Here is a 15,489-nt window from a genome sequence, read left to right on the forward strand (position 1 = left end):
GATCATTGTTTTTTTTTACAGTGCTGAAACTCAAGGAACTTTTATGTAGTTGGTGTGCAACAAATATCTTTTAAATGAATGAATTAATGGAAGGAGTGAACGTGATCCTTGATACACTTCAATAATGCTTAAAATAATCGTAAACCAACATTAGGCAACACACAAGTGTCCTGCCACTGGAGGGCCCTAGGTAATAACAAAAGTCTCAACAATCTAGCCATTAATATTTTATGTGGGGAGAAACCCAAACATTTATTTGCTGAAGATTTCCAGCTCATCAAAACTACAGTTAGTATATTTGGCAACTTCATGCCTTTGCAATATTTACTTTTTAAATAAGTATTTTATCCTTCAATTGACTTCTTTAATTTTTCCATTTGGAAGGCACGGTTTCCAAGTAGAAAATCATTTTTGCATTGGGTACTTTGATTACTAATGTAATGAATATATTTATACCAATTTGTAAGTTTAAATAACAACCTTCTTTGGAGCAAATTCCTTATCTGTAAGATCCATTAAGATCACCACAGTTTTGCTATGAGAGGAGATAGGGTTAATGAAAATTTAACTTTTCCAGAAATTCTGAGAGTTTATATTGGCATCTTTTAGGTTGTTAAAGATTTTCTTTATTTAGTTATAACATGTCAATAATTTCCACCTTTATCTTATAAATTCATACATATTTAATATATGACATATGAACATATATATACCTATACATATATGATACATGAATACATACTACATGTCTATGGGCAATATATACATATATATGAGTATTTAGTATTAGGGATTTTATTGAGATTTATATTTCCAATGACTTTAGATTCAATATGAACCTCAGAATTTGCATGGTCAATGTAGTAAGATCATATTTTCCCTTTCTAAGAGTCCCCTAAAAGAAGAAATTAAATTCAAAGATTTAGAAGTGCCACCAATACTTTGCTCAAAAGTTTGACAAATCCACTGTTTTTTAATGAAAGTTTTTAGAGCTCCCAACTCAGGAAGTCTTACTTAGGAAGTAAATCAAAAGTTACACATTTCAAACAGAAAAAAATGAGAAATTTTATGGCAGCCTGTTGTGAACCAACCTAGTTTGCATCAGTGGAGACTGGAATTGGGACAGTCTAAGTCTCAGGTAAGCGAGGCAAAAATTCATCTGGTGCAAGAGAAACACCACCAACAGAAAATACTTGGTTCCCAGGACACTAAAGCGAAAGAAATTCTTCACCTGCAAATGTACCTGCTGGGGCGGCAGGGGCACTTCTGAGGACAGGGCACAGGGCCAGATGGCTGGTTTCACCACTTGCCGATGCCAGGGCACCATTTTGGGTCCCCCATCTTGCTCTCATTGTCTAGTGTTTTATGGCACCTCTTTCCACTATGGGGAGCTTTTTATCCATGTCACACATCTGCAAGGGAAGATACAAAATCTTTTATACTAAATATTTTAAGATAAGTAAGCTAACATTGTCTTCCATTTATCATATTTTCCTTTATCCACAGGAAGAAGAGATAGAATTTGGGGCTCTTGTATTAAACAAAAAACTCTGATTTTCTATACTTTTTTTTTCTTTTATTATTATACTTTAAGTTTTAGGGTACATGTGCACATTGTTCAGGTTAGTTACTTATGTATACATGTGCCGTGCTGGTGCACTGCACCCACTAACTCGTCATCTAGCATTAGGTATATCTCCCAAAGCTATCCCTCCCCCTTCCCCCCACCCCACAACAGTCCCCAGAGTGTGACGTTCCCCTTCCTGTGTCCATGTGATCTCATTGTTCAATTCCCACCTATGAGTGAGAATATGCGGTGTTTGGTTTTTTGTTCTTGCGATAGTTTACTGAGAATGATGATTTCCAATTTCATCCATGTCCCTACAAAGGACATGAACTCATCATTTTTTATGGCTGCATAGTATTCCATGGTGTATATGTGCCACATTTTCTTAATCCAGTCTATCATTGTTGGACATTTGGGTTGGTTCTGATTTTCTATACTTTTAGAGTTACAGATGCTAGTTTGAAAACAGCATTTAACTTTCATGCAATGCTTTGAGATGGGGTGTGTGTGTGTGTGTGTGTGTGTGTGTGTGTTTGTGCACGTGTGTGTGTGTGTGTAGTGGTCCCATTCCAAAGGAGATAACGTTAAATCATTCAAGCCCACACAGTTCTAAGGCAACATCCAAGACATCCTAGTGAGGAAATTTTCCTGGTACCAAATGCCAAGCAGAATTTTATTCTTAAAAGATTTTTGGGTTTAAACTTTGACAGGATGTTTGAAATGAATTTACTATTTGGAATTTCATACCCTTCTTGCTCCTTCATAAACAGTCTCTTCTTATCTTCTCAGAATTGTATTTACTAGCTACAGCAGTTTGGGAGGGCTTACAGTTTAAAAGCTTCAGAGAGGAACCCTTTTGCTCAGATTGAACCAGAAATTGAGGACATAGAGTAATGTTATGGACTCAATGGTGTCCTCCAACATTTATAGGTTGAAGCTCTCACCCCAATGTGACTGTATTTGGGGATAGGCCCTTTAAGCTGGTGAAGTTAAACGAGGTCATTAGGGTGAGACTCTAATCCAACAGCAGTGGTGTCCTTATAAGAAGGGAAAGAGACACCAGGGGTGTGGCCACAGAGGAAAGACCATGTGCGGACACAGCGAGAAGGCAGCCATCTGCAAGACAGGGAGAGAGGCCTTGGAAGCCAACTCTGCTGACACCTTGACTGGGGACTTTTCCGCCTCCAGAACTGTGCAACGATACATTTTGTTTGAGTCATCCAGTCTGTGGTATTTTGTTGTGGCAGCCCTAGCAGACTAATACAAGTAATAACAAAACGTTAACAAGAACATAGGAAATAGTAGTTATTTCAATATGAGACCCACTGGTTGTTTGCAAAAATGGCTACACTTTTTTGCAGCTACTTCGTTAAGAGTTGATGTCTATTTTTTCACCCCCTGAATGTCTTCTGATTGTTTTTCCAGACTCTCTCTCTGCATCTCCATCCTGTTCTTGCCCTCAGACACTGACCTGTATAGACCATACCAATCAGCTTCTCTGCCCTCTGACTTCTATTGCGTTGGCTATCAGGGAGCACCAGCATGTGATGGGAGAGAGACAAGAGGGTGATTAGGGCACTGATTTGCCCAGAAACTTGCCTGCAGGGTCACTATGGGTTGGTTGCATCTCCTAGAGGAAGGTCCTCTCCACCCAGACTTCTACCTACCTTTGGGTTCTGGGAGCTGCCAGCTCCCTTCATCTCTTCAGGCCTAAAGCTGATAGAGAAGAGATATGGTTTGGCTCTGTGTCCTCACCCAAATCTCACCTGGAATTGTAATAATCCCCACATGTCAAAGGCAGGACCAGGTGGACATAATTGAATCATGGGGGTGGTTTCCCCCATACTATTCTCATTATAGTGAATTAGTTCTCATGAGATCTGATGGTTTTATAAGGGCTTTACCCTTCATTTAGCACTCATTCTCTCTCCTGCTGCCCTGTGAAGAGGTGCCTTCTGCCATAATTGTAAGTTTCCTGAGGCCTCCCCAGCCATGCGGAACTGAGTCAATTAAACCTCTTTCCTTTATAAATTACCCAGTCTTGGGTATTTCTTCATAGCAATGTAAGAATGGACTAATACATGAAACCTGTTTCTTTCAAGTCCCAGGGCCCAAAGTATAGCATGAACCATTGTTGTTTCCCTCCCTGCTGCCCGGGTCTTTTAAATTAGTTCTTTTATTAAATTCTCTTCAAATTGCCCTTACGTGATTGTCCCATTACTCCCTTGCCTGGACTCGGAGGGATACAACACAAAGACAATCTATTCCACAGAAGAAATCATTTTTTTTCCCTACTAAATATCACCTGTGGTGGTGGTGGTGGTGGTTTTGTAAGTGGTGGTGGGGTGTGCATACAAGATTAGTCTTTGTTTCTTTCTTGGAATTGCAGCACATCAAGTGATAACTTAGCATTTCTTGTCTTGCCTTCCCTGTGTGTATACTTCTGCATGTAAATCTATTTTCAGCCTGGAATAAAACATTTCTTCAAGGCAGAGCAGGCTAATTTCATAGGTCAAGAGGCTACCATTCTGTCTTTTAAAAAAGAGCAAGTGTCTGACTGCTTCTTACAGTATTTGTGTCAGGTAGGAATTATGCTAACTCTGCTGGTAAAGTACAAAGAAAATCATAAACCAGACAAGGGGTTTATTTTCTAAGTAGTGAGAAGCACAGATTTTAGTCAGTTCAAGATTGGTGTGTGTGGTAGATTGCAAAATTGGTCACAACTTGTTACAACATTCCCCATAAAAGGAGAGGTTGTATTAGTCCATTCTCACTCTGCTAATAAAGACATACCCAAGACTGGGTAATTTATAAAGGAAAGAGGTTTAATTGACTCACAGTTCCACATGGCTGTGGAGGCCTCACAATCACGGCAGAAGGTGAAGGAGGAGGAAGGTTATGTCTTACATGGAGGCAGGCAAAGAGAGAATGAGAGCCAAGTTAAAGGGAAACCCCTTATAAAATCATCAGATTTGGTGAGACTTATTCACTACCATGAGAAGAGTATGGGTGAAACTGCCCCCGTGATTCAATTATCTCCCACTGGCTGCCTCCCACAACTTATGGGAATTGTGGGAGCTACAATTCAAGATGAGATTTGGGTGGGGACACAGCCAAACCATATCAGAGGTCTATTTCTTCACCCTACAATTCCAGAGTGGCCTTGTGACCAATAGTGTGTGACAGAAGTGACAATAAGCAAGTCTCAAGTGTGAGCCTCAAAGGCTTTGCATACCTCTTCTCTCGGGACTCTCCCGCTTGCTGGAGAGAGACCATAAGCAGAGAGGCTTCTATTGTCCTAGCTATCTCAACTGAGGCCATCAAAAACTTGCTAACTCCAGCTGACCTACTAGTTAACTAAAGACCTATGAGTGAATGCAGCCAAGATCAATCAACACTATCCCAGGCTGGAAAAAATAATCTAGTTTAGACCAGCCCAAACTGTCAAAATGCAGAAGTGGAGCTAAACAAGTGAGTTTGTTTTAATCTAAGTTTTAGGAGTGGTTTGTTATGCAATAAATCTTGGTATATTATTGTAGTTCATCAGGGCTCAAGGTCCTTCCAGTTCACTGCTCTGCCATTCCGAAAGTATCAGCTGTATGCTGATATTCACAAGGAGGCTGCTGGAGTGCTAACCATTACATTTGTATTCCAGACTGGAGGAAGAGGAGAAAGGCAAGAGGAGTCTCCCACATGAAAACATGGCCTCTATTAAAGGAGCTTGCTTAAGAACGCCACCCAATGTTTCCCTTATATGTCTCCTTAGCTATGCCTATTTCCAAATAAAATTAAGAAGTATAGTTTTGAGAGCTGGGCACATTGCAACCCAACCCCCCACATAGGAGTTCTGTCATTGAGGAAAAAAAGGAAAATTGGATATCAGTTAGCAGTTAGCAATTTTACTACATTATTGTCATGAACCCTCTGGGATTTTAGGATAGCTTAACTTTGAGTCTGTTGATGAATGACTCTTATTCTATTACATAGAATTCTTGTGTCATAACTACGTTGGAGTTCTCACATATGCCTTTATCTTATTATTATTTTTCTTTTTGCAAAGTGAAAGCAAGTTTATTAAGAAATTAAAGGAATAAAAGAATGGCTACTCCATAGACAGAGCAGCCCCGAGGGCTGCTGGTTGCCTATTTTTATATTTATTTCTTGATGATATGCTGAACAAGGGGTGGATTATTCATGCCTCCCCTTTTTAGACCATATAGGATAACTTCCTGATGTTGCCATGGCATTTGTTAACTGTCATGGCGCTGGTGGAGTTTAGTGGTGAGGAAGACCAGAGGTCACTCTCGTTGCCATTTTGGTTTTGGTGGGTTTTGGGGCCGGCTCCTTTACTGCAACCTGTTTTATCAGCAAGGTCTTTATGACCTGTATTTTGTGCTGACTTCCTATTTTATCCTGTGACTTGGAATGCTTTAACTGTCTGAGAGTGTAGCCCAGGTTTCAGCCTCATTTTACCCAGCTCCTATTTAAGATGGAGTTACTTTGGTTCACACACCTCTGATATTTCCCCCCTTTCTTTTATAAGAGAATCCTTAATCCTAAGGGTTGCAGAGGAACAAAGATCCATCTTCTGTAACTTCTTCAGGCTGAATAGGGGTGATGATATTCCTGCCTACTTATTAGGGTCTCTTGCATTCAGGGTAGAGAGGAGCTCATTCAGAAAGCATCAGTATGGGGAGGGCCTTTTGTGATTCTTGAGTTTTGACAAGAGATGATATCTGGAAGATTAATAAGTGTTTAGTTTAAGAAAACATTCAGTAAGCTTTTTCTGGTATTCCTACACAAAGAGTAAAACAGCAATGTATTCCACAAAAGTAAAGCAAAATAAGTAAAGTTATTCCAAGTAAACTAAATTAGAAGGCTTTTTATGAACTGGGCAACTGTTGGAACTAAGCTTATATGGGGTTGTTAACTGATTGTAATGTGCCCGGAATTAGAATACTGATCCAGATTTTTACATTGCCCATCCCTCTTGTTTCTTCTGAGCAGCAGTCAGAGATCACTGGTTCACAGGAATAAGCAGGGTTACCCTAAATTGCAGAAACAAACCTAAAAACAGCTAATGAGACTAGAATTTAATAACAAGTGTACCACAGTTCTTGAAACATAATATTTCTGTCTCCTGTTTCCCATTTTTACTAAAGACAAATCATGGTAACACTGACTTGCTTTATTATATTTGGCCTAATTATTTGTATAAAGTGCAGCAAGAATAATTATTTTTCACATAGGCTTTTTAATTGGCTTTGAAGGAACTCTGTTTCATAAGGAATCTCAGATAAGACTTTTTTAAACCTTAGTCCTGCCATGGGTTTTTACCTTCAAATACCTATGAGTTGGGTAAATTTCTCTCCGTTTGAGGTCCCAAGATAACTCTGGGCTCCTGGACCTGATAGGAAGTGATATTCTTTACTTACTACAGGTCAGAAACCCCATATGGGGACTGTGTAGGCAAGGTATAAGGCCAGTTCCCCAAGGGTCTCTTATTGGCTCTACAAGTCAAGTTTGATTCCTTAAAGGAAAACACACCATTCCAGTGAAAGCCTTGGTAAAATAACCAATTTCTCCAAATTGTGTCCTGTTACAAAAGAAAACAGATTCTTATTGCACCTATGCAAATAACTATATTGCCATAAGTTAAGGATACTCACAACTAGTTTCCAAATTCCAGAGAAATCAGGTAGAGAGAAACAAATATGCTCTAAATTTTGTTCACAGGAGTATACTTTACTCAATTGCTGAAAGCTGTAAATAGCTCAAAAAAGAAAAAAAGTTTCCTTGACTCTGAGAAACAAAATAAAGGATCAGCAACGTTTTAAACAAAGTTAAAAAGATTACTTCAGTTTTCTATTGGTTCAGTTAATTCAGTTAACTCATGTTCTATTTGATATTCATGAACATTCCAGCTCTTCATGAGAGTTCTGAAAGTTGCTTCCTCTATTCTAGTGTTACAATTTTCAATTAGAAACCTGCATTTAAGAATACCTGCTAGAGTTCTATAGTTGATTATAAACCACCTTCTAAAGAGGATTAAAACAAGACAACAATTGTCTGTGGATGACAAAATGTTTTAGGACAGTCACTATTAAAGCCACAATTGATAAGGAAATGTAACTTCTGTGGCACAGAAAATTTTATATAATTATAATTATTAATAACATACACTAATTCATATTAGAATTATAGGAGTTTCCCATAACTTTGGAACATATACCAATAACACATTTATGCAAATATAGTTCCAAGAAAACAAAATACCATTTCACATTTGTTAATGCTTCCTGTGTGATTTTTATACCAAATAAGCCAAATTTAACTTTTACATTAATGTCCTATTAATGTTAAAGTCAATGTTTAATAAAACCTTATAGACATATTTACCCAATTTTAATGTGTAACCATAAGGTAAGAGTCTTACAAACCTTTATAGCCCTTTACATTTTTTTTTTTTTTTTGGAAAGAGCAGATCAGAAAAACCTGTTGTGCTTTGATTCCAATGTTTAATTTATGGAAAAACTGAATAATACCCCCTTTAACTTTAGCCAATATGTTCACACACAGAATCTCTTACAATTAATTTTTATGAACCTTCCACAACTTGTTTAAATCTTTAGATTATTTTCTTACTTAAAACAATCCTTTAACACCTTAATCTAGGCAGAAAAAAGGTCCACATTCCCATGACTTCTTACAATCTTTCACCAAAACACATTTTACTTTCTTTACACAACTTGCATGCAAAATTGTTTCTTTAGTAGTTTTAATTACATGTTATAATGTTAACTCTTAGAAACTTTTATTTTTGGTGGAAACCTTAGTAAGTTTGAGATTTTAATTATGTACTAGGTGTGGAGCCTAGCCTAGGACACACCAAGCAGAAGTGCAGATAACAGCTGACTCTCCAGAATAGCTAGGGGGCATGGCTAACCACACATGTCCCCAGGCCTCATCTAGAATCTAATGGCTTTAAGGTAGGTAAATTGAACAATTTTCAAAAGTCAAAGAAACAGTTTGACCTTAAAGCATTTAACAAATCTGATATCTGACCTTAATTTAGACCAAATGTCTACATTTTCAAGACATTTTATTTTACCGATAATCATTAAAACTGTCTTTGTTTCCAAAAGATTACTAAAGTTATGTGAACAAAAAGCATTAAGGTTTCTATTGTTCTGACAAAATATTTGGTTTAAGTGCTTATTTTTCTAAGCCAATTAATGAGAGCTCTTTTATATATAAACATACAACACACATACATACATAGTCAGAAGAGTCAGCACTTGTAAGATTTTTCATTTGCCAGTTTCTTAATTAGATTATGGGCTTCAGGGTGGAGCCCTTGGAAAAACAGGGCCAGGAAAGCATGTGTTTCTAGGGCTAAATTAGCAGCAAATAAGCAGCTGAAGGCAAAGACAGACCCCCAAAATAAGGATGTCATTTTATACTGGCTCCTGAATCTCCAAAAGGAGGGAAATAATGCAGGAGAAGACAGTGCAGTGCTTCTACTCTGCATTTCATTGCAAGGCAACCCAAAGCCAATCAGCCTATTTTGTATCAGCCCATCCCTCATGAGAGTCTCGTCTCCCAGCGGGGGGTGGGAATGTTTCCTTATCTTCCAGGTGGCCAAGAGCATGCTTCTCTGATCTAAGTGTGCAAAGAGTCAAGTATCCCTTCATAACTACTATTAGCCATGCCTTAAAGTATATTTCCTACCCAGTCATTACACACCAAAGCTCTCTCATAATGTGAAGTAATTTCTGATACCCCCACCCAAACTCAAAACCATCAGATAACACAATGCAAAACAAAACAGAGCCTTTAATCTGGAGAGGGATCTATCTGCTTTTAATTCCTGGAGTTTCACAAAGAAAACAGAAGTGTTTTTTTTTTTTTTTCCCAAAACGGGGTCTGTGGCACCTCCTCTGTTTTTCCCAAGGACTCCCAGGCTACCAGAAGTTACCTTAGGGCCTCTCATTTGTGCATTAAGAGTGGCAAGACAAAAAAAGATGGAGAAAAATAATTCAGCTGACTGAGAAGAAAAAACATTTTTCCAGAAAAACAAGTTCCAAGAAGAGAAAAACATAAAGGCCTTTAAAATGTATCTATAGCTTGTTTATCCACTTTTAATTAAGCTGATTTTAACCATAGCACTCTTTAATAAAGTCCTTTTAGAATTTAGTATGCCAAATGGCCAATGTTTCTGGGTTTCTGGCTTTTGAACTTCACCAAAGGTCACCTCCTAGGTGCTTAGAGAAAGGAAAATTTAAGACAGTCCACGAAGAAGAGACTAGACAAGGTCACAAAGATATTAAACCAGAAACTACTTACTCCCTAGGTGAGGAATCGAACTTGGACCACCACTGTGAAAGTGCAAAACCTTAGCTAGTGGGTTATAGCAACGGGCAGTCTCCATTTCTTTTTCCAGAATGAGTCAGAGTAGCTAATTTCGAGCTTGCAAAAGCTTCTATTTAATATAATTTTTAGAGCTAACTATGACATGAACCCTAAAATTCTTGTTCCCTGAAGGCGGAGACCAAAAGAAATTACTGCCACGTGGTTAAAAGGTCAAGCTCCCAAGGGCATAAAACATCGTGGAGACTTCATCTGTTTTTTCTGTTTGTTTCAGGGACCTGCAGCCAAGTTTGTTACTGACCAGTTTGCTGGGTTGTCTTGAAAAGTGGGCTTACAGGTGTTCTAAGCCCGTGTTTTATCCTGAAGTACCCCTCGACATGGAAAAACGAATTCATTGCACAAAATACACCAGTTTAAGGCTAGCCTTAGAATTCTTTTTCACATTAATTAAAACTTTACAGAGGAGATACATACTGATCTTTTTTTTTTTTTTCCATTCATTCAACTGTTTGCATGGAGAGAGAGAAGCCAGAAATCTGACTGGTAAGAAATTCTTACCCTTTGCCAGCATGCCAGGCTTCTGGGTTCCCTTTCCCTGAGCAGCCCTAGTGATCCGGCTTGCGGGCTTGCGGGCTTGTGGCACCACCTCCCTGGGGGCCAAGCTGCACTATAAGGAATATTATTATTTTTTCATTCTGGCCAGAGCAAAATACATGTGATAAAACATAGACAGTAGCTACTCTGCTTAGCACCCAATATCAAACTGGCAAGGCTTAAATTTGCCCCCAGATGGGCCTCTTCATCTTTAATCCAACCTCCGACTTGGAGTTTCAACACGTGGTCTCTGGGCAAGGTGGTTGCCCTGAGTAAGGGAAAAGAAAGGGAAAAGAGAGAGAGAAAAGCATTGTCTGTGGCAGGGTGGGGAAGGTGAAATGCCTAGGGAGGCCAGAGAAAGACCCACCCACTGCGGTGACACTGAAAATTTCAGGCAGCTGTGGCTACTGTTGTGAAGGGATTTTTTCCCAGCAGTCCCATCAGCTCTCATGTTTCCCCTTTTAGGGAGGAAAAAGCTCCCCATGTCCCATGATCCTGTACATGCCTAACCCTGTCACCCACAGCCATCAGCAAAGAGTACAAGACAGATTATTCCAAAAAGAATAGCAGTTAACATCCCATAATGCCAAACTTGTTCTTAGCCCAGAGGGACTTTAGCGAGAGCGGCCTCTAACCCCCTAAATCTTAGAAGGGACTCTAACCCTCCTAAGTTGGGCCTCTAACCCAAGATCGGTCAAGCGTCCTTGCCTTTTATTAAGAGGGGCCTCTAACCCACTCTGTTGTAGGAGAGACTTTAACTCCCCTAAGTTGGGTCTCTAACCCAATCTCATTCTTTACTTGGGTACTCTACCACTTACCCAAAGTCATCCAATCAGTGCTGCAGTCTATTTCCTTTGGGTCAGAGGGGTCTTAGTATTGTCCCTTTGTGGTTTGTGAGAAAGATGTTACCGGACCCCACCACTCACCCAAAGTTAGCCTTTGGGTTGGGGGTTTTCACAGTATAGTTGCTTCCGTGGTCACCAGAAAAATGTTACTTATTATAAAATAATAAGCTTCAATTCCTGCCTCATGTAATATATAAAATTAATTAAAGTTAGTCACAAAGTAAAACAAAAATTGTCTAGGAGAAAACATAGCAGAATATAATTTTGACTTTAGAGTAGGCGAAGTATTCCTAAACAGGGTAAAAAGAGACAGACATGTCTTTCTTCCTATTTATATTACAAACTGTAAGTGCTTTTATCCATTTTAATGGCTTGCCTGTTACCAGCATTATGTGGATCTTCAGCACAAGCTTCTTACCTTTTCATGTTTGCTACATGGTTATCCTGAATGTGACTAGAAGACAGCCTGCACCATGGGACTCATCACATGCATTTCCACACTATCTAACTGGTCACTGCCTGTTCACTGGGTAAGCCCACTGATCACATGCTTGGATGTTCTGGCAATGGAAAATTGCTCTAAGAATTTCTAAACACTTTCTCTTGATTTCTGTACTTATCTCATTGCAGTGACAAATGGCTCACAGACCAACAAATAGTTCACAGACAAGCAGTATGCTCTGCACCAGGGGAGTTTATAATCTTGTTGGGAAGATAATAATTAAGGAAGGGAAATAATTATTTTTAAGGCAGCATGTAAGAAAGTGGGAGGTGATGTTGTTTCCGTTCTGTCCCCAACGAGCAGACCTATAAACAAGAATTTGGGTGGAGAAGGTGCGTGGGGAGATGATAGGAAGTGTCTACCAGAAAGTACCTTTAGGGATGTGGGAATGCGAGGGAGGGAAAGGAAGGATGCCAATTCGAGTGCGTTATTAGCAGGTTATTTATTGGTGTAGGAGATGAATCATGCCGGACCCTTTAGACTATGTAGGGACTGAGTTGTCCCATACAACATACTGACAAAGCTGAAGTATCTGTCCTTCAACTTTCAGATGTCATTGCTTGAGGGTTGCTTTGTTTCTGGGGAATTCTGGAGCAGGAGCACTTCCTCCTGCTCTACACATGAGCTGGGCATGTTCCATTGACCACAGAAATCCTTCAGGCAGAGTCACAGCTTCCTGTAGAAATGGTGAGGAGTGAAGGGACATGAGTGGGCATGGTCAGCATCTGCTGATGCCATGTGTTCTATAAATAAACCCTAGGGACAATGGAGAACTTCAAGGGTTATTCAAGAAAGTTTTCTTGGGGGAAGTTTACTTTGAATGTGTCTATAAAGAATGGATACAAACAGAATGTCAGAGAGAGAAAGGCCTAGCACTGGGAATGCAGATAGTGAAACCAATAAGGACAAAGATGGTAGTAAGTAAATAGCCATGGGAGCTACAAAGGAACAGCCTACCTGGAATAGATGTACCATATTGCCTGGAGTAGAGGTGCCACACTGGGGAATATGTGCGGCTCGCATGGTATTGGTTAAAGATGTGTCATGAATGAAACATAAATAATAAAAAATGATAATAATTGCTGACATGGAGTGGGCATTTCTATGTCTCTGCTACTATCATGCCCATGGAGTGGGCATTTATATACGCCTGGTACTACTGAATGCCTTATTTTCATTGTTTTTTTTGTAGTATGCATGAAACTTTATTCCATGACTTCAGGTGAAAGCAATTTTATGGTAAACAATTTTTTAATATAATTTAAATCTACTCCCCAATCCTACTCGCTCAGGTGATGGAAAATTCTCTCTTGGTTCTGTTTTATGGGTCTCCTTTTTCAGACCACGCCTGAGTCCCAGAACAGAACATTTAGAGATGGGTCTGCTGGCCTTGAGTTCACTTTGCCGTGCTCAACTTCCAAGCTTACGGGGCTCCTTGAAGACAAGTAACTCTGATGTTCTGTGTCAAGCACCAGCATAAGAATCATTGTCAAGGAAAAAGTACTTTGTGGCTTTTCCCATTTAAGGTTCTGAAGGTTTCCTTGTGGAAACCAGGCACTACTCCCACTATTCATGGACCTAAAATGTCCCATCACTATCTGATATGGTTTGGCTCTGTGTCCCCACCCAAATCTCATCTCAAATTGTAATCCCCATGTGTCAAGGGAGGGACTTAGTGGGAGGTGATTGGATCATGGGAGTGATTTCCCCCATGCTGTTCTCATGACAGTGAGTGGGTTCTCACAAGATCTGATGGTTTTATAAGTGGCAGTTTCTGCTGCACTTTCTCTCTCTCTCCTGTCCCCACTTAAGACATGCCTTGCCTCCTCTTAGCCTTCCACCATGATTGTAAGTTTCCAGGGCCTCCCCAACCATGTAGAACTATGAGTCAATTAAACCTCTTTTGTTTATAAATTACCCAGTCTCAGGTAGTATCTTTATAGTATCTTTATATATTTAGAGAATAGGCTAATACACTACCCTTTAACCCTAAGGAAGGATTCTCAAAATCTCTTACTTCTATGCTCATCTATTTCTGCCCACTGAGATGCTGAGACATCCTGGGTGTTAGGGGTGCTTGAAAATTTCTGTTTTTCACTTCAAAGATCTAAAGTGCCAAGGAAAGAGATGCAGAATTCATAGCACAATGTCCATCCAGCTTCTCAGGATAAGAGAGAAGGGCTATCTTTCATTCCACTCAGTGCTCTACATCTATAAATACAAAAACTTTGATATTCAATAGATTGTTTTATAATCGGCACAACAACTCTATGAGACAATATTATAAAGCTCATTAAGGAAATTGAGGCTTAGTGAGGTTTTAAAAATACACCTAAGATTTTGTTGTTTGTTAGTGTGAAGTATGTCTAACTTCATGATGTAACACCTAAAAACTATGTATGTGGTCATTTAAATTTCATTGAAAGTCAACTGCAGGCCTCTGCAAATTTTGAAGCACTTGTGCAATATTAGGAAAACAGTCTTTTGAAGGTTTTGAAGCATGGAGAGAATGGAGATGTGGAATATTTTAAAGGAATTCGTTCAGCAATGCTCAGATGAGGTTAGGAGCATCAAAACTAGAAGATGTCACCCAAGATGATTCATTGATTACTGAAAGGAACAGAAGAGGAAAGTTGAGAAGAGATAAAGATAGCGTAAGATTTCAACATCTGTTCTCCTTATACCCCCACCTGTTTCATTAAAATATTTAAGTTTTTCCTTACATAATTATCACATAAATGGCTGCATGGAGCAGTTAAAATCTAATAATCTTGTCATCATGCTCTCAAACTAATTCCTTATAATTACCATTGAATCTGAGATTAAATCTTTCTGATGAACTTTAATTTGCCAGTGGAACAAACCCTTTGGAACTTTGACTGCAATGGTACTACATTTATAGAATGCATTTTAGATGAGGTGGCAGATTTATATTATTGAGATTATCTATATTGGAACATGGTATAATTTCCTACCTTTTCAATTCTTCTTTGATGACTTTCTATAATGTTTAAATTGTTTTCTTTATATCAAGCTTGCACATTTCTCATAATGTAAATTTCTGTACATTTTATAATAACTGATGCTATTATAAATGGGTTTAATTTCATTATACGATCTGATTATTGCTAGTATAAAACAAAGCTATGAATTTGTTAAATTAATGTTGTATTTAACGCCATAATACTGAATAGATTTTACGGGTTCCAAAAGTTTTCCCTGTTTTTTTCTGGGTTTTTCTAGATAGGGAAATTATATTATTTTAAAATAATAATTATTTTCTAAGAGTAATACTTATCTTGCCTTGCTTTAGCACATTGGCTAAAAACACAGACAATGTTAAGTAATAATGATAGTTAAAGGAAAAACTTCTATAGCAAGTGGCATAAGTCTGATGAAATCTAAACTATTAGTGATGCAATACTTCAATTTATTGTTTTTGATTAGGTTTGTTGAATAAAGGGCTGTCATTTGTTTGCAAAACCATAATTCCAAGGCCAATCACTTCTTTAAGAGGAAACTCATTATGAATGGGAGATGGTTTAATTCCAAAGGATGCTAATGTATTCAAAAGACAAGATCTCGGTACCTTATATAGATAGAAATATCTA

At 38.6% G+C, this 15,489-nt stretch overlaps 1 long non-coding RNA gene across 1 annotated transcript in view; it reads right to left on the reverse strand.

Annotated features, from left to right (window-relative positions):
* Window positions 1–608: 608 nt before the first annotated feature.
* Window positions 609–15,489, reverse strand: part of LINC02149 (long intergenic non-protein coding RNA 2149) — a 74,915-nt gene continuing 60,034 nt past the window's right edge. Inside the window, exon 3 of the long non-coding RNA NR_109944.1 lies at window positions 609–1,412. This is a non-coding gene — a long non-coding RNA (long intergenic non-protein coding RNA 2149). The remainder of the gene's footprint in view (window positions 1,413–15,489) is intronic.

The sequence above is a fragment of the Homo sapiens genome, chromosome 5 (assembly GCF_000001405.40).
Source record: "Homo sapiens chromosome 5, GRCh38.p14 Primary Assembly".
Lineage (NCBI taxonomy): Eukaryota > Metazoa > Chordata > Mammalia > Primates > Hominidae > Homo > Homo sapiens.